The 26,045-nt window shown below is 38.6% G+C and overlaps 1 long non-coding RNA gene across 1 annotated transcript in view; it reads left to right on the top strand.

The window, feature by feature from the left end:
* LOC107987355 (uncharacterized) overlaps positions 1-2,937 on the top strand; it is a 118,030-nt gene extending 115,093 nt beyond the window's left edge. Inside the window, exon 3 of the long non-coding RNA XR_001756089.1 lies at positions 2,865-2,937. This is a non-coding gene — a long non-coding RNA (uncharacterized LOC107987355). The remainder of the gene's footprint in view (positions 1-2,864) is intronic.
* The last annotated feature ends 23,108 nt before the right edge of the window (positions 2,938-26,045 follow it).

Here is a 26,045-nt window from a genome sequence, read left to right as displayed (position 1 = left end):
TCTAAAATAGTTCATTGAATGTTATGTACATTTTGTCTCAATATTTTGAAATGTCTAGAATCTCAAGAGATTTCAGTATCATAATTTTGACATCAGTCATTCAGCTTTTTATAAAGCTTTCAAAATGATGCTAATGTGCAGCTGGAAAGCTGGGGCTTGACTTAAAGCCTCAGGCCTGGTGGGATTTCAGACAATAGCCACAAAGGCTGAGCAACATTGTGTGTTTACTTGGTATGATTCAATGAAGCAAAAGAGCAATTTCAGTGGGTGGATTCTTAGCACTTCACTAACTCTGTGTCCATGAACTAGCTACATCAACCCCACCTTGGATTTTGTCAGAAGCAGAGACTCTCCAGCCCCACTCTAGACTTCCTAACTCAGACCCACCTTTTCATAAGATCCTCGTGACATAGGCATTGACATAGGCATCAAAGCTTCAGAAGCACTGGAGAGGTTATGCAGCCTTTCCATTATCGTGTTTTAGGAAACACTGGTCTTGCTGAGGTACTATTGAACATCCTGAGACAAATGGCTTGTGTTGTTCCAGTGGCTTAGGAGATATTGGTTGGAAGAAAGTTAAACATGGTCATATTTTTCAGGATCTCTCTGCATCTTTGAGAAGTTCCCATGATGCAGGGCAGGAGAGCCACAAAGTAGGGCTTATTCCTTGTGGGTTCTTTGCTTTGCTCTGGGAAGAATTGAAGGACAAGCCGCAGGTGGAGGAAAACAGCTTTACTGAAGAGGCAATGTTACAGCTCCAGCTGTGTTACAGCTTTGTGACTTTTCCTGCAGAATAGGATAAGCCCGTAGCCAGAGTGTGTTACATTTATACCCTCCACTTTTTTTTTTTTTTTTTTTTTTTTTGAGATGGAGTCTCACCCTGTGGTCCAGGCTGGAGTGAGTGGCACAATCTCAGCTAACTGCAAACTCCTCCTCCCCAGTTCAAATGATTCTCCTGCCTTAGACTCCCAAGTAGCTGGAATTACAGATGCCTGCCACCACACCCAGCAAATTTTTGTATTTTTAGTAGAGACAGGGTTTCACCATGTTGCCCAGGCTGGTCTCAAACTCCTGACCTCAAGTGATCTGCACACCTTAAGCTCCTTAAGTGCTAGGATTACAGGTGTAAGCCATTGTGCCTAGCTCATAGCTGCTTTTAATTTCCTGAAGATTAAAGGGCAGTTTGTGCAGACATTTCACGGAAGGGGTAGTAAATTTTGGGTCACTGGGACATTGCCATGGAAAAGGGTGGAAACTCCTGGATGTTGCTGTGACAATGGTAACTGACATGGCACACTGGTGGACATGCCTGATGGAAACCTGCTTCTGCCTTGGCCCTGTTTTAGCTATGCCTCAACTTGGTCCCATGACCAAACTTTGCCTCTGGGGTTGAGTTCTGTCTCCTCCCCAACCTGGACCCAGCAACTCTGCACTGAGTATTGTCTGCTTTGCTATGCAATCACATCCCAAACTATTTGAAAAAGGAAACTCCTTTTGAAGGACCACTTCATGACCCTGAGGGTCTCTAGTGATCTGCAAAGCACAATGTGGAAAATGCTGCTCCAGGATCTTCTAGGGCCACCTAGTCTCAACTAAATGTTAGAAATTATCTTGAATTTGGTGAAACTTTAAGAGTGACTCCAAATTTCAGTACCCAAAGAGATGGAGTGTGAATCAGTGGATTTCATTGAAACCTGCATCACAAAAAAAGAGAAAATGTGGAAAAGAGGCAGAGTTCCCTGACAGCATGGCTCTTTTTCACTGTAGACCAAGAAGATTTTGAAGTTTCATCCTCAGAGTCAGGGTAACCTGAAAAACCGAGATAGCACAACCAACATGGAGCATGTTCCTGAGAAATTCCCAACTTTCCACTCATCTCAAAACACTATGAACTTTCCCATTGAAATTTTCCAGGTTACATTTTCTCAACTAATGTCTGAGAAAAACTTTAAGATGTGATTTTCAAATACATTCTGAGATGACTTAACTACTGTACTAAAGAAAACTATCCAGATGAAAAAGAAAGCTTACGAACTTATGGAAAGAGTTTCAACTACTGCCCTTCTAGTCAGATCAATGGACTTGTCTTTTTTGTTTGTTTGTTACTTTGAGATGGGGTCCCACTGTGTCACCTTGGCTGGAGTGCAGTGGTCTGATCATAGCTCACTACAGCTTTCTTTGTTTTTTTTTGTTGTTGTTGTTTGTTTGCTTCTTGGACAGGGGACCTTAGAGGTGAAAGATGAGTATGGTTTTAGTATTGAGATGATGAAGAATGATTTTCTGTGTTCTGTGTCTCAATCTGTTAATATGAGTTTGTAGATGAGATGCTGACTCTGCTTATAGCCCCTTAAACCTTAGCTTTCACACCTGCTAAAGACATGAATTGATTAACATAATAATTTTTGAAAACCAAGGAAAAATTTCTTTCATTGTAATATAGGAAAAAAAAGAACTTTTAGCCCAAGCCCACATTTCTGAATTTGGTTAATCTTATTTCCCTAGATTTAACTGTTGAGTAAGACAAATGATTCACAAACAAATTGTGGTAATAAATGAGAAGACAAAAGCAAATGAATGCAAGAGGAATGGTGTTCACTGTAGTTAGGATACAAGGCATTGTGCACAACATTTTTTTTAAAAAAAACAATAACACCTGTGGTTTAATTTCCTGAATAGAAAACAAAGGTCAGGGTAGTTTCCATCCACCTTTCATTTGTTTCTGCATCATCAGGATGGTGCAAGACCTTTCTGTTAAGGGTTTAGAGAGGTTGGAAAACTACAACCTGAGGGACAAATTCAACCTATAGCAACTGGTTTTATCAATAAAGTTTCGTTGACATGCAACTTCATCTATTCATTTACAGATTGTCTACAGCTCCTTTCATGCAACAATGGCAGAAATGAATGTTTGCAACAGAGACCAGAAAGGACTAAAATGTCTGGGCCTTTGCAGAAAAGTCTGTGAATCTCTGGCGTTGAGTAATTCTGTAATATCAGCTCATTTCAGCATACATCTTATGATCAGGAGAGTTTAATACGGAAGAAGAATGATACTAGATCCATTTTTGATGTCACACACACAAAAAAAAACACAAGCCAACAGGTAACTATTGAGTTTTCTTAACTTTTACAACCCAATTCTTTGAGATTCTATTATGTGGAAGGCAAGATAAGGGCTAGAAAGATGAGGAAAAATGTTCTTGCCTTTAGAATGGTCTAATGTGTGAGAGACAAATGACTACTAGTTTGAGTTGCAGACATGCTCTGAAAGAGATATTCACAAAGAGGAATATTCACAAATGGGAAATGAAAGAGCTGGAAGGGCTTTGCAAACCCCAGAACTCCAATATGTGCAGCAGTCACAGAGACATGGCAGATTTGGAATAGATTGAGATGAGAACCAAGGAACTGATGGAGTTTGAAATTAATTTGCTTTAAAGCACAAATGCAGGTTAATTGCTGACAAAGATGGTTGCAGATGGTCATGGAAACCTGGAGAGGGGCTCAATGTAAAGTTTCTTAAAGGCTTAAACCAATAATACTTGTATCCCATTCCTCATTCTCCAAGGAGCTCACTCCATTATGAAAGAGAGCTTTAAGCAAATTTGAATGTTTCTTCACTGATTTCTAACATACTCCTGTATTGTGGAAGCTCTTCCTAAGTCCATTTGTTTCCTGGCTAAGTGTGAAATGACTGCTGCTATATCCCATCGTGGGCAAAGGGTACCTGCTATGCAGGGTGAATTGGGATCAGCCTAGGTCTTCATTAAGAACAAAGGGAGACCATGTATGGCTGTGTATTCCACATTCACCAGCGACTAATGAGGAAGATAAAATAGAAAGTAGTTCTCCTCCTCTGAGGTCTCCATTCAGGATGTTGCACAGCCTCATTAATGAACTATTGCTGTAACAAAGCAGGAAATTAAAAATGGCAACACTAACATGCATGAGCCCTTCCTCTGGCAGGTGCTTTACAAACAATAAGGGTGGTGGCTCTCCACTTGTTAACAGTGGACAATTGCACATCACTGTTGACCAGTTTCTTGGTGTATCACTAGCTTAGCTAAGATAAATAATTCCACTGCCTTATAAGGCTGGGCCTACTCAATGCACTGGGGTATAATTTTTCTAGTTATGAATGTCATCTTTCAAAATATGGAAAATACAGTTAAGAAAAATCTTTCAAATTACTGATCAAATTGCCATTACCTCTTACAGTTTAAAAAAAATGGTATGCTGGGTGTGGTGGCTCATACTTGTAATCCCAGCACATTGGGAGGCCAAGGTGGGTGGATCACGTGGTCAGGAGATTGAGACCCTACTGGCCAACATGGTGAAATCCTGTCTCTACTAAAAATACAAAAATTAGCTGGGTGTGGTGAGACATGCCTGTAATCCCAGCTACTCTGGAGGCTAAGTCAGGAGAATTGCTTAAATGAGGAAGTCCGAGGTTGCAGTTAGCTGAGTTCACACCACTGTACTCCAGCCTGGAGACAGAGACAGACTCCGTCTCAAAAAAAGAAAAAAAAATGGTATAAACCATTTTAATGAATGTGACAGGTACATTTGTTCATCTCACTAAAGGTCCTTTTTGGGTTGCTGTTGTTGCTGATAGCTTTATTCTTTCTTATTTTAATTAAACATTTTATTTTGATATAATTATAATCATGTAGTTGTAAGAAAGAATACAGATGAATCCTGTGTGTTTTAGTACACATTTACATAATTGTCCTTGAAATGGCAGTACTGTAGAATTGGAGAACAAATTACTGGGTGCTGAAAATTAAGGAGGGAAAGGCAGGAGGAAGGTGAGTATGGCTTTAAAAGGACAACATGAGAGATCTTTGTGTGGATGGAAATATTCTACATCATGGTTACAGAAACAACAGTATCTTGGTTGTCATATTGTACTAAAATTTTATAAAATAGTACTATTTCTATTTTGGTTTATCTATAGTGTTTTAGTTTATGTCTTTGCATAAGCTTCCTTAGTATGTTTTCTAGGTGCTATATGATATATTCATAACTATTGCAGTCTACTGATGTCACCATTTTATCACTTTTAGTGAACGCAAAAACATTGCTTCCCTTTACCTTCCCCCATTTATGATTATCTTAAGTATTTTTCAGCAGATTCATAGAACCATATCAAAGAAATGTTCTAATTTTTGGTTCAACCCTCAAATACAATTTAGAGTATTCCAGATGAGAAGGAGAGCATATTTATTTATCCATAGTTTTGCATATTGATTTTCCTTCCTGGCACTCCAAGGTTTATTCTGTTATCATTTCCTTCTATTTAAAGAACTTCTTTAAACCAGTTATTTTAGGGTAGGTCTGCTGTTGACAAATTCTGTTAGATTTTCTTCATTGGAGAATTTCCTGATTTCCCTTTCATTCCTAAGGGATATTTTTACAGGATATGAAGTTCTGGGTTGATAGTTCCTTTTTTTCAGCATCTGAAAAATACTTGCCACTTCCATCTGTCCTCCATCTATTCTGGTAATTATTTTCTTATTACTCGAATGATCTGTTCCATAGAGGTAAAATGTTACTTTCTGTGGCTGCTTTCAAAATTTTTTTGTGTGTTTTGTTTTCAGAAGTATAATTAAGAAGGGCCTTGGCATGGATTTCTTGAGATTTACCTTGTTTGGCCTTCACTCAGTTTCTTGCATCTGTTGGCTTATGTCTCTTGGCAAAATTGGCAATTTTTAAGCTACCGTCTCCTTGAGTACTTTCTAAACTCCACCCTCTTTCTCTTTTTTTTCAGGCATTTAGCCAGTTGTTTTATCCCTAATTGTTAATTACAGCTCACATCACATGCCCCAAAAGGGAGTCTGGTATCTTCCTCGCTAAGGCTGGGTGGACTTTCTGTGATCCTTCTGTGTAAAATATGTTTCTATCACATCTCAGTCATTTCTCACTAATGTTTTTAAGGTTTATTGAGAACCTTAATGATTTCAGATGAATTTTAGAAAGAAAATCTGAGAAGTTCCTGAAAACATTTACTAAAGTTTTTAATTGTCATTATAGAAATTGATGTGATAATATGAAAAATGGAGATAATTAAAATATTTATAGTTTGAATCCTGCAACATGATTTATTGTTCCTGTTTATGTAAGCCTAATTATATATATTGCTCAGCTTTAAGCGGTTTAAGGCTTTAAGATTTTCTAGACAGGTTTTACATGTTTCTTGTTAAGGTTAGTTCTAGGTATTTTTATTTATTTTTATTGTTTTGAGACAAGATCTGGCTCTGTCATCCAGCCCGGAGTGCAGTGGTGCGATCTTGGCTCACTGGAACCTTTGCATCCTGGGCTCAAGCTATTCTCCCACCCCAGCCTCCCAAGCAGCTCGAACTGCAGGCACACACCACCACACAGAGACAACTTTTATAAATTTTTTTTTTTTCTGGTAGAGATGCAGTTTCACCATATTGCCCAGGCTGTTGTGGAACTCCTGGGGTCAAGTGATCCTCCCATGTAGGCCTCCCAAAGTGCTGGGATTACAGATGTGAGCCACCAAACCTACCCATATTTTCAGTTTTAATTGTTATTGGGATAGATTCCTTTTAGGTAATCTTTTAAAACTAGCTTCATTGTGTGTATAGAAATACTGTTTTTTTATTATGTTTATTTTATATTTAGCCATTTTATTAAAATTTCTAATTAATTGCTAGTTGTTTTTCAGGGGTGTATTCAGTATTTTTAAATATGTTCCTTGTAGATTTCTTACTTCCTACAACAGATGCCCAAATTTTAGTTACAAAACAGATTCAGGAATATTCTGAAATATGCCTAGTAAACAAACATGCCCATAGTCAATGATTTTGATAAATGTTACATTTAAATTTGTCACCTGCTGATTCACATTCAATGTATCATACTTAAGGCTTTGAGAAGTCCTGGATTTAAGGGCCCAACTAGCCTTGTTTAACCCACGTTTCTGACATGCAAGCCATACATATCAAAAACCCATGGAAAATACATAGAAACTCTACATACATTGCACTTGTAGACAAGTGTTTATATTCTTAAAATGTAAAGAAATCTTACAAAGCAAGGCCAACATGATAAACTCCCACAGTAGAAAGATGGGGAACTGACAGAAGAAACCCACATGGCCAATAAGCCATTTTCACTCAGCAAATTCATGAGACCATGATTATGTCCAGGGTGGCCTGATATTGTTTCTGATATCCCATTTCAACAGCTGCCTTGCACCGAAATTTAAATTATTTATAACCTGGGCTGCCAAGACCACAATGGGGTGTCCTCTGCCTTGCCCCCTGCTTATCTAATTCTATGTCGATTTAGCAGGGATCTCTCTGCCTTTACCATCCTATTTCCTGATGTCTGCCTAGTTTGATTAATCTCCGAAGGTCAGACAAGCCAAGGGATAATTTTCTGAGTTAAAATCCCTGCTGGATATGAAGATGGAAATTTTGCTACACTTTCGATGGGTGAGACAAGCAAGATATGATTTATTTTCTAACTCCCAATACCATGATAAAGAGTTGAAAGAATTCTAGAAAGAGAAAGACATGAGCCAATAATGTTTAGTTGTGTGTTGTTTGAAAACATAAGTCTCTACGTAGGAAAACATCATGGTCCAGTTCAGAACCCCACTTTCTTGTAAACACTCTTGCTGTTGAAACATGGTATCACACCATTCTGCCTTTCTAAAGGATAATACATCCAGAGGTATAAAAATGTCCATGACCATTGATCCATAATTAATTACTTAGAAAAATATTCACAGATGTCAACCATAATTTAAGTCAAGAACATTCACAACAATGTTATTTAAAACAGCAAAAACAACAAAAACTCCATGGTGCTCAATGATAGGGAAGCGTTTAACCAAGCTTTGATATAAACAGAGGTCATGTTGTTACATAGTCTGGGGTTAGGATACTTTCTGTAAGAGACTAAATAGTGACTATTTTAGGCTTTGAGGGACCTATGTTCTCTCTCACAATTATTCAGTTCTACCCTTGCATCTCAAAAGCAGCAATAATCAATAATATAGAAATAAATAGGTGTGTTTGTGCTCTAATAAAATTTCCTTTAAATTTGAATTTCATATAATTTTAAGGTGTCATGAAGTTTTTTTTTAAAGACAAGGTACAATCTGTGCTCACTGCAACCTCCATCTTCTAGGTTCAAGCAATTCTCCCATCTTAACCTCCTGAGTAATGGGGACCACAGGTACACATCACCAAGCCTGGCTAATTTTCTTATTTTTAGTAGAGATGGGGTTTTGCCATGCTGGCCAGACTGGTCTCGAATGATCCAGTGGATCCTGTCCTCAAGTGATCCACCCATCTCAGCCTCCAAAAGTGCTGGGATTATAGGGATAAGCCATTGTGCCTGGCCAAAATATTATTTTTTATTTTTATTTTTAAAAGCAACTTCAACATGTAAAAGCCATACTTACTCATGGGCAGTGAGACAGTGTTTGACCATGGGCTGTGGTTTGTTAATACTGGCATAGCTACTAAAATAATATTTTCAAATGTTATTTTACATAGGAAAATGCTCACAATATAATATTGAATGAAAAACAGTAGAACCTAAAATTATTTTTAGAGTATGCCCTCATTTTAAAAAAATAAAGGAATATAAGGGGAACTAGAAATAAATATCCAAAAGCATTAAAGTGTTTTTATTATATTTATTTTATATTTAGCCATTTTATTAAAATTTCTAATTAATTGCTAGTTGTTTTTCAGTGGTGTTCTCCAGGGTGGCCTCTGAATGATTTTGACTCCACCTGTGTGCTTTTCTATGTTTGCTAAATGCTTTACAAGAAGAATTATTTTTATAATAAGAAACATTATATTAAAACATACTCTTCTTTAAAAAACTATTCTCAAGCCAGTTCTTTCTTCTGCTATTTTAAGGATTCATTTTTCTTATTTTGAAATTTATTTCTTCTGCCTGTCATCTGTTTACTACATTCAGAGATGTTTGTCATTTATTTTCAGAAATCCTTCACTCATTTCCTCACTCATTCATTCTCTTTTCTCCTCGCCCTCCCAACAATCTTTGTCATGTATGACATTTTTTGAAGTTCTATTCTCAGCCAACAGGAGAAAAAATGTTGAAATATATTCATTATAATAATGCAAATGAAGGTAAAAAGTGAACTTTCAAAGCCACTGATTGATTTAATTTTTAACATCTTGGGCATCAGGTAATCCCTCAATGTTGTGAGTATGATGTTTTCAAAAGAAAACTGAACCAGTCTGAAGACATTTAAAAATAAGTTTATCTTTAACATACATTAAATCCTATACCTTGACCATTGGGTCAAGATTCTCTTATCATAGGTGCAGGAAGAATGGCTTTATTTTATTTTATATATTTTTTGATATAAGATCCGCTCTGTGTCCCAGGCTGGAGTGCAGTGGTGTGATCTCAGCTCACTGCAGTTTCAATCTCTCTGACTCAATCGACCCTCCCCCCTCAGCCTCTGGAGTAGGTGGGACTACAGGCATATGCCACTTCACCCAGCTAACTTTTGCACTTTTTGCAGAGATGGGGTTTTGCCATGCTGCTTACTCTGGTCTCGAACTCCTGGCCTCAAAGCCATCCATGCATCTCAGACTCCCATGCCTGTGGCTGGACTACAGGTGTAAACCACCGCACCTGGCCAGGTGCAGGAAGAATAAATGGCTTGCCTTTTCTTGAAAATACTCTCATTTGACTCATAAAAGTCATACAAGGACTTCCCTTATATCCCAGGTAATCTCAGTAATGTAATTGTTCCTCTTCTGGTGAAGACGACCTACCATCACCACAGCACTGAAGAGAAGGCAACAGAGCTTCTATGTTGGGTGGCTTGCTTTCATTCCAAACCCATTTAGCATCTCAATCCAGTTCCCCAAGAAAAATCCTATTAGGATTTTTTTTTTTTTACATTCCGTATCTATTGATTTTCCTGGCTGCTCTTCACTGAATGCCCATTTTGTAAAGGACACTGTTTTAAATACTAGAAATGACAAGGTTGCAGCCCTATGTGAGCATACCACTTGTGGTGGCCCTGAATGAGCTATAATTAATGAAGGAGGATAGGGCTTCAAGCCAGAGAAGAAATAGCACTGTCAGCATTAAGCACTGGGGTGTGGGATGTATAAAGGAAATAGACTAAGTATTCACAAAGGGCTCAGAATATAGTGTCAAAGAGGTTGTAAATGAGGAAGAATGCCAGGGCCCTATTCTTAGTGGAGCCAGGTAACTGCTAGATACTTTGCACATTCTTTGTCATGAAAACCATCAGGGTAGATCCTCTACAGACTGTAAGTCCCTTGTCTTTCATGCCATGCAGGGGAGAGATTGTGAAGGAAAAGGGAATAAGATCCTACAGGAATAATGCTAATTCCACAGGGTTTATACAAATCCATCCCATACCATGTGCCATCCTAGGCACTTGACATGCCCTATCTCATTGAATCATCTAAACAATGATAGGGGGTTAGAACTGGCTGTAGTCCAATATTGAAATGAAGGAACTGGGTCCTGGAGGAAAAAAAAAAGCAAAAACTAACTTACATTTGATCATAGACCTAGGTGGTGGTAGAGACCTAGGTTTACTACAGCTATTCTCATCTACACATAGTAAGAATTATGTAATCCATGACCTTACAATATGAATCAAGCTCAGCCTCAATCTTATTTTTCCATTAAAATGTATTTAAGTCTAATCTGCTAATAATCCTAAATCATTACCATACGACAAGTGTGGGTGGTAGCGATACTTATTAATTTGATGGTAATTTTATAACGAAATGTCCCACAGGTTTAAAAATCTCCATGTTAAAAATAAGGGAGAATAAGTTTAAGAAGAAAACAGGTATCTTTTTGTCCATGACGTGTGCCTGCCTCAAGGGAAAAACTTACCAGATTTTGAAACCTTGGACTGATTTTAAACCTGTGGCTTTGCAAAAAGGGTCTGTCTTTCCTGACTTTGGATATTTAATTGATAAAAGAATAAACAAGAAAGCATCGTTGCCTAAAACCAAAACTACCACCGAGTGCAGATAGAATGCATTCTGTATTGGTAGAAATAGATTCCCATGAATATTACCTAGAGAAATATGAGCAGAGTGCCTAGTTTAACTGGAGCAATGTCTTCCACCAACTTCTTGGCAATCTGGAAATGTGAGATCTACCTTGCCCAGCGGCTGAGGTTTGTTCTTCACATCAACATCATATTCAGGCCATAAAACTCCAGTGGATTGAGGCTGGACAGAGTCTCTAGGGCTAAGAGAAAAATCAGACCTTGGTGCTCAACTCAGAGCGTGGTTGACAGACAGGAGGGGACAAATTCATTCCCAGTCAAGAAGAGAGGGACAACTGAGCAAATGTCAGCACTCTTCCTTTATATATACAAGTTAGCTGACATGGGTAGTGTCTTGACTCTGGTCCTGAATACTTTGTAGAAATGTGGTGTTGCCCCACAGTTGGATCTGCCAACCTCCAGCAATTCACTTTAAAGAAAAAGACCTAAATAAATAATATCAATAAAGAAAAATCATCAGCAACACAAGGAGAAGAAGAGGGAAGGTTCTGTCAACACGGCAATGTGCTTTTGGCCACTTCCCTCTGAACTGACAACTAGGGTGCCATGGTCAATATCAAGTGCATGCAGACTGTTGCAGACTGTTAGCGAGCACTGCTCAATGTTGCCATGGCGAATGAGAAGCGTCCATAATGCCTCAGAGCTTGTTGGCGGCATCGTTATAAACAAACACAATAAGGCCAGTACTTTTGCCAACAGAATTCATGTAACTATGTTGCATATTCAGCTATCCTAGAGTTGGGGAATGTGTCTTAAGGCATAGGACAGGATTAGAATAAAACCGTGAAAGCAACAGGGAAAATTACCTACAGACTAAATGCCAACGTACTCAATGCCAGTGCTTCCCAACCAAAGGTGATTTTTGCCTTCTGACCATATCTGGACATCTGACCATATCTGGAATCATTTTTGGTTTGCACTACATGGGGAGAGGTGCTACTGGCATCTGGTGGGTAGAGGTCAAGGTGCTGTTAAACATCTTACAATGCACAGGACAGCTCCTTATAAGCCAAAGATTATGTGGGCCCAAATGTCACCAATGTCAAAGTTGAAAATCTCTGCTCTCTGCAGAGAACTCTTCATGAGAACCAACTGTAAGATGCTTGGTGTTAGAATCTACTTTCTATAGATTCATGGCATAACAGATGAAGCACAAAAAACTTGACTAGAGAAAGTATCAACAAGTAAACCAATGAAAAATAAAGGAAAATGTCCCACTTGTGTGGACTCCCACTACAGTTCCTAAAGGCGCTGAAATATGTAATTAGGCTGATTGCACAGAAACCAAATTATGACCCAGGAAAACAAGAGAACAGCTGACTCTTTAGGCTCCCATGAAATGACAAGATATATGTATTTCTAAAATTTCCTTTTATAATGTGGAATGCCATATTTGTCAGAGACTGTTTTTTTTTTTTTTTTTTTTTTTTTTTTTTTTTTTTTTTTTTTTTTTTTTTTGAGACGGAGTCTCGCTCTGTCGCCCAGGCCAGACTGCGGACTGCAGTGGCGCAATCTCGGCTCACTGCAAGCTCCGCCTCCCGGGTTCACGCCATTCTCCTGCCTCAGCCTCCCGAGTAGCTGGGACTACAGGCTCCCGCCACCGCGCCCGGCTAATTTTTTGTATTTTTAGTAGAGACGGGGTTTCACCTTGTTAGCCAGGATGGTCTCGATCTCCTGACCTCATGATCCACCCGCCTCGGCCTCCCAAAGTGCTGGGATTACAGGCGTGAGCCACCGCGCCCGGCCCAGAGACTGTTTAAGTAGGGAAGCTCACAGCCAAGAATCAGGCTGACATTTCATAGAATCTGTCCTCTGATTAGCAGGAGTGAACATTTTTGCAGGGCCAGGGGCTATTTGTGGTTTCATATCTCCACCTGGAATCTCTGCTTGTATTTGGAACCAGGCACTTAGCCAGTGATCATATCCTACATGTGCAGCAATTTCATCACTATGGTGGAAGGCTGTGCTACATGTCTAGATTCTGTATTTCATCATGTCTTTCTGATTGCCACCCCCACGTTGATGGGGCAGGTCTCTTCAACATTGCCCAGAGCAACTATAGTGATTTGGCTGCCATCTTGCCCATGATTTGTCTGTACAGAGCCAGTTGGTTCTGAGGGGGCTCTGCCTTACTACAGGTGATGGACACTACTCTAGAATTGTGTCTGTATGTCTCCATCTACTGCACTAGGATTGACTAGAAACATGGTAGAAAATCCATGTCAGGTCTTTGTCATGTAATGACATGACCCATCATCTAATATTGCCTTACTTACATTAAGAATGCTTTGCAAAATGTCTGTTCTAGTTGCTAACTGAGCCAAGGATACGCTTATTTTTAATGCTTAGTTTCATTTCTTTCTTTGTTTTGAGAAGGATATCACTTTGTGCCTAGGATGGCATGTGGTGACGCCATCACAGCTCACTGCAGCCTCAACTCCCGTGGTTTAAGAGATCCTCCCATTTCAGTCTCCTAAGTATCTGGGACCATAGATGCATACTACCATGTCTGGCTGATTAAATTTTTTTTTTTTTTTTTGTAGAGACTATGTCACACTATGTTATCCAGGCTGGTCTCAAACTCCTGGGCTCAAGTGATTCTCCTGTCTCAGCCTTCCAAAGTGCTGTGATTACAGGCATGAACCACTGCCTTCAGCCTCGTTTTGTTTCATTACCGATTAACCAGAGTAGCTTGACAGTGAGATTTTTTGTGTGTGTGAAGACAGATATTTCTCTGAGAAGTGAGTATATTGTCCCAACCCTCTCTAAATTTACACAGTTATTTTCCAGAACAGTTCATGGGAAATGTATCTCTCAGTGCATCCCCTCTCAAGAACATAGAAAATAACTCTTAATGATCCACATCAAAACGATGTCCATTTGAGGGAACTGATATCATCTCATGTCACTAAGGCAAATCAAATGCTGAAGCATTGGGTCTCACTGGAAAGCGATCATACTGAGTTGAACTTACAGTACTTGCAGAAAGGGTGGTAGCACAAACTTACTGTTCAAAACAAGACCTGCCTACCAACATTTAATGACATATTGCTTAGTGAAACCTAAAATGCATAATTTTTGCATTAAGAAACATATGTAAATCAACTTCCATTGTTTTCCTGCCCAGTGATATCTCTCTCTTCTTTGCATTCAAATGAATGTGTCTGAATTTAAGGGTCTACCATTTTCTGCATAACCTTGTTCAGACTTCATTTTATTTTTCAGATGGAGTCTCACTCTGTCACCCAGGCTGGAGTATAGTGGTGTGTTCTCAGCTTACTGCAACCTGTGTCTCCCAGGTTCAAGCAAGTTCTCCTGCCTCAGCCTTCTAAGTAGCTGGGATTACAGGTGCGTGCCACCACACCTGGCTAATTTTTGCATTTTTCATAGAGACCAGATTTCATCATGTTGGACAGGCTGGTCTCAAACTCCTGACCTCAAGTGATCCACCATCTTGGCCTCCCAAAGTGCTGTGATTACAAATGGAAGCCATGTGCCCAGTCAGACTTTTAAATTCATAAATCAAAATGAAAAATATATAGCCCATTGCACCTCTTGCGAAAACAGTTATCACACTCATTTCTCCTTGATTTTTCTTCTGGACTGTGGGGGGAATAGTTTATCTCTGTTGCTGATAAATTTTGGCTTTATCAGTATATCTGGTTCCTGATGGTTTCCTCTGTCCAAGTCGGCCTTGCTACTTGTTTCAACCTGCCACTCCCCATGAAAAACATCTTTATTTTCTTCCATTTTTCATCTGAAGTTTTTCATTTCAGCTTTCTTCTCCCTAGCACTATGGATTCCCTTAACTCTCATTTCTGTTTCCTACACCCCATAAATTTCTTGACCCTGGCTGAAAATATGTTGACCATGTTAACGGCTAAGAGAACCAATTAGCTTCTTAGACTAACTGCTCAGTATTTGTAGGGGACTGGGATCATCCAGCTTTATCTGCTTCCAATTTATATAACCCAATGCCATCAACAATCTTGTCCACAATGATCCCCTTTTGTGTTCCTTGGGGTAGTAATACTAAATCCTCATCACTTTGCTCAAGGCATTCTCACCTCCTCTGTCTTTGCTCTGCTCTCAGGATAATCTATTCTCTACTTTGTGGGGAACATAGTATCTACGTGGTGCGAGGACACTTCGTGTTTTGCTATTCCCTATACCTTGTCTGTATCCCATGATCTACAAGTCTTCCCACTTGAACTCCTTCCTTCTGATCTCGTGGATGAAGTATTGTTCCTATAGTCTAGGATAACTATCTCTGCTGTTAAAATCTTATTTTTTCCTTTTTTTTCTCAGTTTTTCTTGCCATATCTTCTTAATTATCCCCCCAATTATATAATTATATATATTTCATCCCAAAGTAATAACAACCAAATAAGCCAGGCACAGTGGCTTACACCTGTAGTCCCAGCAGTGTAGGAGGCAGAGGCAGGTCAGGATCACTAGCTCAGGAGATCAAGACCATCCTGGCTAACATGGCGAAACCCCATCTCTACTAAACACACACACACAAAATTAGCCAGGCGTGGTGGCAGGCACCTGCAGTCCCAGCTACTCAGGAGGCTGAGGCAGGAGTATGGCATGAACCTGGGAGGCAGAGTTTGCAGTGAGCCAAGATCACACCACTGCACTCCAGCCTGGGGGACAGAGCAAGACTCCGTCTCAAAAAAAAAAAAAAAAAAGAAAGAAAAACCCACACACAGGAAACTAAATCCTTTCTATTTTAAAAGTATCTGTCTCTTCATCTGTTACACATCTTCATCTAGCTACTGCTATGACATCTCCTCTGCTCTTTATGGTCAGCCACTTAGAGTCAAATTCAATCATAATAATGTTCACTTCCTCCCATGAGGAAAAAGGTGGGCAGCTTTATTTAAATATAAAATACATTCCATATCATTAATAAAGTGTGCAATTCAGTGGCTTTTATTCACAAAGTTGTGCAACCATCCCCACTCTCTACTTCCCGAATATTTTCAGCATTCCCAAAAGAAACCCTGTGCCCATTAGCATTCATTCAACCCTCTGCCTATTAGCATTCATTGCCTTTCCCTAATGGTAAGCAACAAATTATTTACATTCTGTCTCTTATGTTTCTTAAAAATTGAATCATACAACATGTGGCTACTTTCACTTAGCATAATGTTTTGAAGGTTCATTCATGTTGCAGCATTTATTAGTGATTCATGCATTTGTATGACTGAATAATGTTCCATTGTATGTATAGACCACATTTTATTTATCCATTCATCAGTTGACGGACATTTGGGATGTTTTCACTTTTAAGCTACTATGAATAGTGCTACTATGAACATCCATGTACATGTTTTCTTATAGGTATGTTTTCATTTCTATTGAGTATAGACCTAGGAGTGGAATTGCTGGGTCCTGTGGGAACTCTATGTTTAAGCTTTCAGAAACTGCTAGACTGTTTTCCAAAACTCTTTTTCCCACTTTTTTCCTTCCATATGCAGTCTACATTCTGGGGAACCTCTTTCTCTCAGGTTACAGTAACTTCCACATTGGCAAATTCCCTAAGAGCTTTACAATCCTTCTCTTACTTTGATCTCTGTGACTGTGACATTCCTAACTTCTTCTCATAAAAAGTTCTGTTCCCCTTTGGTTTTTGGGACATCTTTATCTTCTGGGAAAGCTCTCTTTAGTCTTAACTCATTTTTTCTCCTTTAATCCCACCTAGATACCTCTATCTCGTGTCATCATCACCCTTATATTCTCACTAAGCACATTCCTCCCAGATACTTTGGTGCAATGATGACACAAAATCTGTAACATCACCCCAGATTTCATTTCTGAGCTATAGGATGAAGTTCCCTACACAGATGTCCCATATGAATCTTACACTCAAGAAAATGCTGTACTCATTACATCCTCTGACTCATTTCTCCATGAATGCAATCACCGTCCATCCTGTTAGCTATTCTTTTCCAAGTCAAAATTTTAGATGAGAATAGCTCTGTGTGATGAAATATTGAAAGATATTATTTATGATAGTGTGTTGTAAATACAAGGTATGGAGTCATTAAAAAAATTTGGAAATCACTTTACTAGAGTATGAGTATGCTGAGTTAAGAAAACATAATTATTATTATTTTGCTAAATCTATTTTCTTAGTACCTGACAAGGTATCTGAAATACAGACATTCAGTGATTGTTGGTTGAACTAATTTATATTATATAAATGTCTGTAATTTGTATTTACAGTTGACTTTCATTGTTCATGATCATTACAGTATATTCTACAAAGGTAACAAAAACACTGAATTAGTGAACGTTGAACCATTGGTTAGGTTGTTTGCGCCCCATGGTTACAACATTTTTGTCAGCTGATGAATAGATGATGTTGTTTTCTACTTGTTTCTGTATAGAGAAACCTAACTTCATACATGTTGTTGTTTCCTTCATGTAGAACTCATGGCCAACATCACTAGAACTCATGCCTGAATGAAGCTTCTCTAATACATATGTTATTTCCATAAGACACACCATAGACTTCTTTTGCTTCGGGACACAACACGGCACTCCAGCACTGTGGTTTGGGGCCATTTTCATAACAAAACCAACAAGAAAAAGCATAAACATGTCAAAAACACGATATGAAATTGACAGCTAAAATGACACTTGTTTACAGGATGAAGTGAATCAAGAATGCAGTGTGGCCTTGTTCATCCCCAGCTGACAATGTGTTTTGTTGGGTGACTTAGATTTTTCCTCACAATGCACATGTCTGTAAATGACTATGAACACACCCCAGGCATTGATGCTGTGGTCACAAGTACATTTTAGTGAATAGGCAGACAGGTAAATGCAGAATCTTCATATAATGAGGATCCACTACATATAATTCATATGTCTATAATATATAAAGCACTAAATAATGTATACAGCTGTAATAAATATAATAGATATTATATAATATTTTATAAACTATATTGTAATCATTTATATAATTTCAAAATCATAATTTCTAAGATTTTATAATGTAATACATATGATTTTATATGTGGTAAATACAAAATGTGATAATTTATAATCTATGACATATATGACTATATATGTTATAGTATATAAGTAGATGTCACCAATTTATTTATAATTATTTACAGCATATTAGTCTGTTCTCATGCTGTTAATAAAGACATACCTGAGACTGGGCAATTTCTAAATAAAAAGAGGTTTAACAAACTCACAATGATGGCAGAAGGCAAAGGAGGAGGAAAGTCACCTCTTTTATGGCAGCAGACAAGAGAAATGCAGAATGGAGTTGGCGAAAAGCCTTTTCTAAAACCATCAGCTCTCAAGTGAACTCACCCACTATCATAAGAACAGCATGGAGGTAACCACCCCCATGATTCATTTATCTCCCACTGGTTCCTCCCATGACATGTAGGGATTATAAGAAATATAGTTCAAAATGAGATGTGGACTGGAAACTATAAAAATTCTAGAAGATAAATTGGAAAAATCCTTCTAGACATTGGTTTAGGGAGGGATTTTATGACCAAGAACCCAAAAGCAAATGCAATACAAAGATAAATTGCTGGGACATAATTAAACTAAAGAGCTTTTGCTTGGCAAAAAGAACAGTCATCTGAGTAAACAGACAACCCACAGAATGGGAAAAAATCTTCACAAACTATGTATCTGACAAAGGACTAATATCCTTTATTAGTTTACAATGAACTCAAACAAATCAACAAGAAAAAAAGTGAACAATCTCATCAAAAAGTGGGCCAAGGATGTGAATAGACAATTCTCAAAAGAAGATATACAAATGGCCAACAAACACATGAAAAAAATGCTCAACATCACTAATGATCAGGGAAATGCAAATCAAAACCACAATGCAATAGCACCTTACCCCTGTAAGAATGGCCATAATCAAGAAATCAAAAAACTGTAGATGTTGACATGGATGTGGTGATCAGGGAATACTTCTACACTGCTGGCGGGAATGTAATCTAGTACAGCCACTAAGGAAAACAGTGTGGAGATTCCTTAAATAACGAAAAGTAGAACTACTGTTTGATCCAGTAATCCCACTACTGGGTATCTACTCATAGGAAAATAAGTCAATATGTGAAAGAAGATATTTGCACATGGATGTTTATAGCAGCACAATTCACAATTGCAAAAACATGGAATCAAAGCAAATGCCGATTCAATCATCGAGTGGATAAAGAAACTGTGGTATATTTATGATGGAATAATAGCACATTTTTGTGATGGAATACAAGCACAAACTCAACCATTAAAAGAAATGAATTAATAGCATTTGTTGCAACCTGGATGAGATTGGAAACTGTTTTTCTAAGGGATGTAACCCAGGAATGGAAAACCAAGCGGTATGTTCTCACTCATACTGTGAGCTAAGACATGAGGATGCAAAAACATAACAATGACAGCATACATTTTGGGGACTCAGTGTGAAAGGGTGTGAAGGAGTGAGGGATAAAAGACAACAAATAGGGTGTGGTGTATACCTTTTGGGTGATCGTGCACCAAAATCTTACGAATCACCACTAAAGAACTTACTAATGTAACCAAACACCACCTGTTCCCAGATAACACCACCTATTCCCCGATAACCTATGGAAAGAAATAAGTATAAAGTAAAAAATGTTACAGCTTATAGCATAAAGTGACCTTCCATGAAATAATGTGGCAAAACAAGAAAGTTAATACCAGAGGTAATAAGTGTCTAGACATTAAGAAAAAAAAAAATGAGATTTGGGTGGGGATACAGCCAAACCATATCACTTACAAACTTTGGGTATATAAATGCTTTTATCTATAGGCATATATTCAACTAATTTCACTTATATATGTTAATATATACATATATAAGAGATAATCATATATTCTTGAGAAAATAAAATGCATGACCCCTGTATTCTAATCACAAGTAACAACCATGTGATTAGATTACCTTGATTGCTTAATAATATATTCTCTCTCTTCATCCTAGATTCTCCTTCAGTTCCTTATCTCAGTAAATGGCACCCTCATCATCCAGGCAGAATCCAGGAAAAGATTCTTCCCTCCTTCCCATCTATTGTATCCAAATCATCATTGAGGGCTCCTTGATTTTGCCTTCCTGACATCACTCTCTTCTAGAAACTGCTCTCTTCACTGCCACAGCATTACTGCCACCTTTACTTCAATTGCATTAAGGAAAGTATTCTTCGAATTGCATTATCTTGTCTCTACTCAGTTTTTAGTAAATCCTCCACTCTGGACACAGTGTGGCTTTTAAAAAAGACTCCCTGGATCAGGCCACCTTTGCACAGAATATTTCAGTGGCTTTTCACAGCCCCTACCATCAGGTAAAAGTAAGCCTCCTCCATAGGACATACGATCTGTGCAGTGAGTTGTCCTATGAAAATTCGGCATTGGCTACGTATGTGCAAAGACTAACTCAGAAGTTTTGGAGATGTCACCTCCTGGTTGATCAGAAAAAGGAGGAATGATTAAATGGATCAAGACCAAGAAGAAGCAACCCAGTGAAATTCAGGAAACCAGGAAGAAAGTGCTGTCGGAGGCCAAAGCAGAGATAATTTGAAGTGATATGGGTTTAAATGCTTCCATCAGAATGAATGAGGATTTATAGTCCCTGGGTGTAGCACGTGGGAGGTACCTTGGGGAAACAATTTGAAAAGAAGAAAAAAGCACCACCTGCTGGCCAGGGATTGAAGGAGGGGGAATTAGGAAATGATAAGATGAAATGTATATTATCCCACTGGGACTCCTGATGGGAGAGAGAGAAAAAAGTGGCCAGGGAGGATTCAGGACAGAGGTTGGTTATAAGAAGCACAGGTGAGCCAAGGCATGCTGGCTCACACCTGTAACCCTCAAACTTTGGGAGGCTGGAGTGGGTGGATCACCTGAGGTCAGGAGTTCAAGATCAGCCTAGCCAACATGGCAAAACCATCTCTGATAAAAATATAAAACTTAGCCAGACGTGATAATGCATGCCTGTAATTCCAGCTACCCTGGAGGCTGAGGCAGGAGAATCACTTGAACCTAAGGGGCGGAGGTTGCAGTGAGCCAAGATCATACCACTTCACTCCAGCCTGGGTGAAAGAGTAGAAATCAGTGTCAAAACAAAACAAAAAAAAGAAGCTGCCTCATAATTCTGACTTCTGAAACCTCCAGTGAAGCTGCAAAAACACCAATTATTCTTCTGCTTAAGTGCTCAGCTAAATTCCTCCTGTTGTAAAAATATCTTGCCTGTGGTTTTTGTACTTATAATATCATTTGTACAAATACATGGATTTCTGAGGTGAGAAGTGAAAAGAAATATTCACCTAAGCATGGTTGATAATGAGTGTTATATTTCTGACATCTCAAAGTGAGATGAAAGATTGCACATTTTATCTTGAAAAATGATCTCAAGGCCTCTTCCAAGAGATTCTCCTTACCTAAAAGGATTGTGGCTACCTGCTATTTTACTTCATTTTCTTCTCTTTCTTCTCAAAGAAATATCTGTTATTTTTCATTGCTCAAGTATTGATGACTAGGGTGTTTACTAAATAAATTCATAGAACACAGAACTGGAAGAGGCAATTGTGAAAACTTGACTTAGGGCCAAAATATCCCTCCATTTCCAGCTACTGTGATTTCTTCATTGAAAACCAGAGAGTTTGCAAAGGTAATTGCCAAGCAAATTACCTAAGGGAATCCATCTATAGCAATGATGAAGAACACCAGAATTGGCATCTTGTCTTCCCTTTTTTCTTTCAACATATAAAAAACAAAGAATTCTTTTTGAGGTCACAACTGCAACCATCACGACATAGTTTCAATTGTGTTGCTGAACTAGAAATTTCCAGGATATTCCTGATGGTGCCCAGTGTTCAGAAATCATCTTCATATGCCCTTCAGGTCTTTGGGTTGAAGTAGTTATTGGGTTAATAACCAAACTACCATCGATGGAAACAGTTTTTTTTGTGAAGCTGATAGCACAACTTACAGTTGGAATTAAGCTCCCAAATGAGTTCTTTGAAATTTTTACTGAAATGGTTTCTTTGAGGGAAGTGCTAACCCCCCACCATTTTCAACAAAAGTACCAGGGATCAATGTTTCCAACAGAAAACAGAATCTACCTGAATTTAGCTAGTCAGCAACATACACCAAACAGTTAAAATGAGAAAAGTGAGAAAATAATTAAGCAGTGTGCATATATGTAAGGGAAACATAAACTGCCTCTTCAGGAGTTTACTATCTTTGTTTAGGAGTGCACACACACACATGTGCACACACAAACACAAAATTCAGCCAAAGCCCCATTTCCAATGGTACCAACAAACAAGCACAAATCAATGTAGTAAAAACAAAATACCTAGGCGCTAAGCGAATATGTCCGGGGAGCTAGCCCAAGACTCCAGTAAGCTGCAATTGCTGAGACCATTTTCAATCTGATATAATCATTCTTATAAGTCTGTGAGATTTTGTATAGTTGAAATGCAGATCACACAGATCCAGCCATTTGAATACGAATGGCTCCACACTCTGAAATGACACCTGTAATATTTCCCTGGGAGTTGACTTGACCATGCCGTCTCTTTTTTTTTTTTTCGTGAGACACAGTCTTGCTCTGTCACCCAGGGTATAGTGCAGTGACATGATCTCGGCTCACTGCAACCTCCGCCTCCCAGGTTCAAGCATCCTTCTGCCTCAGCCTCCCAAGTAGCTGGGATTACAGGCACCTGCCACCACACCCAGCTAATTTTTGTATCTTTAGTAGAGATAGAGTTTTGCCATGTTTGCCAGGATTGTCTTGAACTCCTAACCTCAGGTGATCCACCTGCCTTGACCTCCCAAATTGTTGGGATGACAGGCATGAGCCACCACATCCCGCCAACCATGTCATCTCTTAATGCAAGAAGCTGAGTAGTGAGCGAACTTTCAACAATTGTGTACCATCCACCCCTTGGCGTGTTCTCATTTCCCCGAATACCTTCCATTTAACTTCACTTATTTTATGCTCAACTCTTAGGTTTCTGTCATCCTCCATTGCTATTAATCAATAGTCATTTTATAATTGAACTTCATGCCTTTGTGCAAAAATCTTTGCTGGAAGGAAAGGGAGGAGAAAAAACTAATGCACTCCATCTCTGTGGTTCATGGGCAGATTTTTTTTCTTTATACTTTAAGTTCTAGGGTACATGTGTGCAAAGTGCAGGTTTGTTACATATGTATACATGTGCCATGTTGGTGTGCTGCACCCATTAACTCATCATTTACATTAGGTATATCTCCTAATGCTATCCCTCCCCCCTCCCCCACCCCACTATAGGCCCTGGTGTGTGATGTTCCCCTTCCTGTGTCCATGTGTTCTCGTTGTTCAATTCCCACCTATGAGTGAGAACATGTGGTGTTTGGTTTTTTGTCCTTGAGATAATTTGCTGAGAATGATGGTTTCCAGCTTCATCCATGTCCCTACAATGGACATGAACTCATCAGTTTTTATGGTTTCATAGTATTCCGTGGTGTATATGTGCCACATTTTCTTAATCTGTCTATCATTGATGGACATTTGGGTTGGTTCCAAGTCTTTGCTATTGTGAATAGTGCTGCAATAAACATATATGTGCATGTGGTTTTATAGGAGCATGATTTATAATCCTTTGAGCATATACCCAGTAATGGGATGTCCGGGTCAAATGGTATTTCTAGTTGTATATCCTTGAGGAATTGCTACATTGTCTACCACAATGGTTGAACTGGTTTACAGTCCCACCAACAGTGTAAAAGTGTTCCTATTTCTCCATAGCCCCTCCAGCACCTGTTGTTTCTGACTTTTTAATATTTGCCATTCTAACTCGTGTGACATGGTATCTCATTGTGGTTTTGATTTGCATTTCTCTGATGGCCAGTGATGATGAGCATTTTTTCATGTGTCTTATGGCTGCATAAATGTCTTCTTTTCAGAAGTGTCTGTTCATGTCCTTTGCCCACTTTTTGATGGTGTTGTTTGTTTTTCTCTTGTAAATTTGTTTGAGTTCATTGTAGATTCTGGATATTAGCCCTTTGTCAGATGAGTAGGTTGCAAAAATTTTCTCCCATTTTGTAGGTTGCCTGTTCACTCTGATGGTAGTTTATTTTGCTGTACAGAAGCTCTTTAGTTTAATTAGATCCCATTTGTCAATTTTGGCTTTTGTTGCCATTGCTTTTGGTGTTTTAGACATGAAGTCCTTGCCCATGCCTATGTCCTGAATGGTATTGCCTATGTTTTCTTCTGTTTAATAAATGGTGCTTTAGTTACTGTCCTCTCCTATCCAGACAATTGCATTCTAAATACCACAGCCATTTCCTTTCCCTCTTCTTTTTTCTTCAAATCAGCTTGGTCTCACCCAGCTTCTACTCCCAGATCAATTGAACCATATACTCCCTCTGTTACTATCACCGGGCACGTACACCGGTGAGAATTCATGTCTTTACTGCTCTCTGAGCACCAAAATTAACAGTGTTGTGCACAATTCTGATGCTACTGCCTGATAAACTCCCTCTCCCATTTCTCATGCTGGCTTTTACCACATTCTCCAATTTGTCTCAAGTCCTCTGCTTTACCCCTCACTTTCAGCACACAGTCTTTCTTTCTAATGCACAGAGAAACAGTCATTATCAGGAATAACCTTCGTTGGTGTTTTGCATCTCCTGCAAAATGATCTATACCTGCATCCTTTCTTCACTGCCATTTCTGGGGTGCATAGGATCTGAGATAAGAATCTCCCACTCTGCTCTGTAAATTCTATCTCATCCACATAATGGTCCCCATCATTCATCCCCTTTCTCTTCTTTATCGCCAACCTTTCTAAGAATGGCACATCTGCAGATGAATTAGTTCTCTATGGTTCTCAGCATACTTGCCAAATGTCATCCATCAGTATGCTTCCAATTTTAACATATTCATTGCCAGACAAACATTCAAAATTTGTCCACACATACTGCCACAACTTTTTCACTTCCTACTTATTCTGCTTTCAGAATTTACTACTATTCAGAGATACGTATCTTCAAGATCACTCGTCAATGATCTTCTAAATGCAACTTTAATCTCTTCTTTTAGGTCATATTCTTGCATAATCTCTGCCTGTGTTAAGGTTTAAAAAGTAGTGTTTGTTATTTTTTTAAGGGATTGTACTTTTGTCTTCAAAGGAGTAGAAAGTGTTAGACAGAACCTGAGTTGTTCAAACAGCATCCTCTCCTCCTTAATTGTTGTATTTATTTAAGCTTTGGCTGAACAGCCAATTCAGGTCTTTGAGACATACTGAACAACAAGTCTATTCAGTGGTGTTTACCACAATGCTGCCTGCACCATATTTGGGAAATAAGAACATTGGATCTTGGGTTTGATGGAAGGAATGATTTCAGCAACAATGGTGTGACCATAGTTCTTTAATAAGAATTTTGTATCGAATATTTATGGTTGAACATAAAAGAAACCTGCAGAAACTCTAATAATTACTAAGATTCATGGCCTGACAGCTCTGTATTTCAGAGACAGCTAAACATAGACCTGGTACAGGTGTGGTCATTTGGACTTTCTGATTCAACACACATTTGCACAGTTTCTACAAGGTCATGACCCATGAATGGCATCTTGATTCTGCAAAGAAGATGATAGGGTTTATGTATGTCTGTATCCTATTACTGATGGGATCCCCAGGTATTAAATAAACAAATCCTGATATGGAAAGACAGTCTGTGCTTATACAAAAGAGAGGAGATTTATTTATCCCTTCCAAGGTTTTTGTCTTCTTTTTTGGTGGGATGAACTGAAGGACATGTAAGAACTTAGAATAATTTTCATAGACCATATTCACATACATTTTTCTCTTACGTTCTCTGCTGCTAGTTATGCAGACTTCAAGATGTGAATCTGAAAATAAAGATGCATGAAGATTCAATAACTAGTATTCTTTTA

The sequence above is a fragment of the Homo sapiens genome, chromosome Y (genome assembly GCF_000001405.40).
Source record: "Homo sapiens chromosome Y, GRCh38.p14 Primary Assembly".
Lineage (NCBI taxonomy): Eukaryota > Metazoa > Chordata > Mammalia > Primates > Hominidae > Homo > Homo sapiens.
The sequence above is the reverse complement of the archived record's forward strand: the minus strand, read 5'-3'. Positions and strand labels throughout refer to the sequence as shown.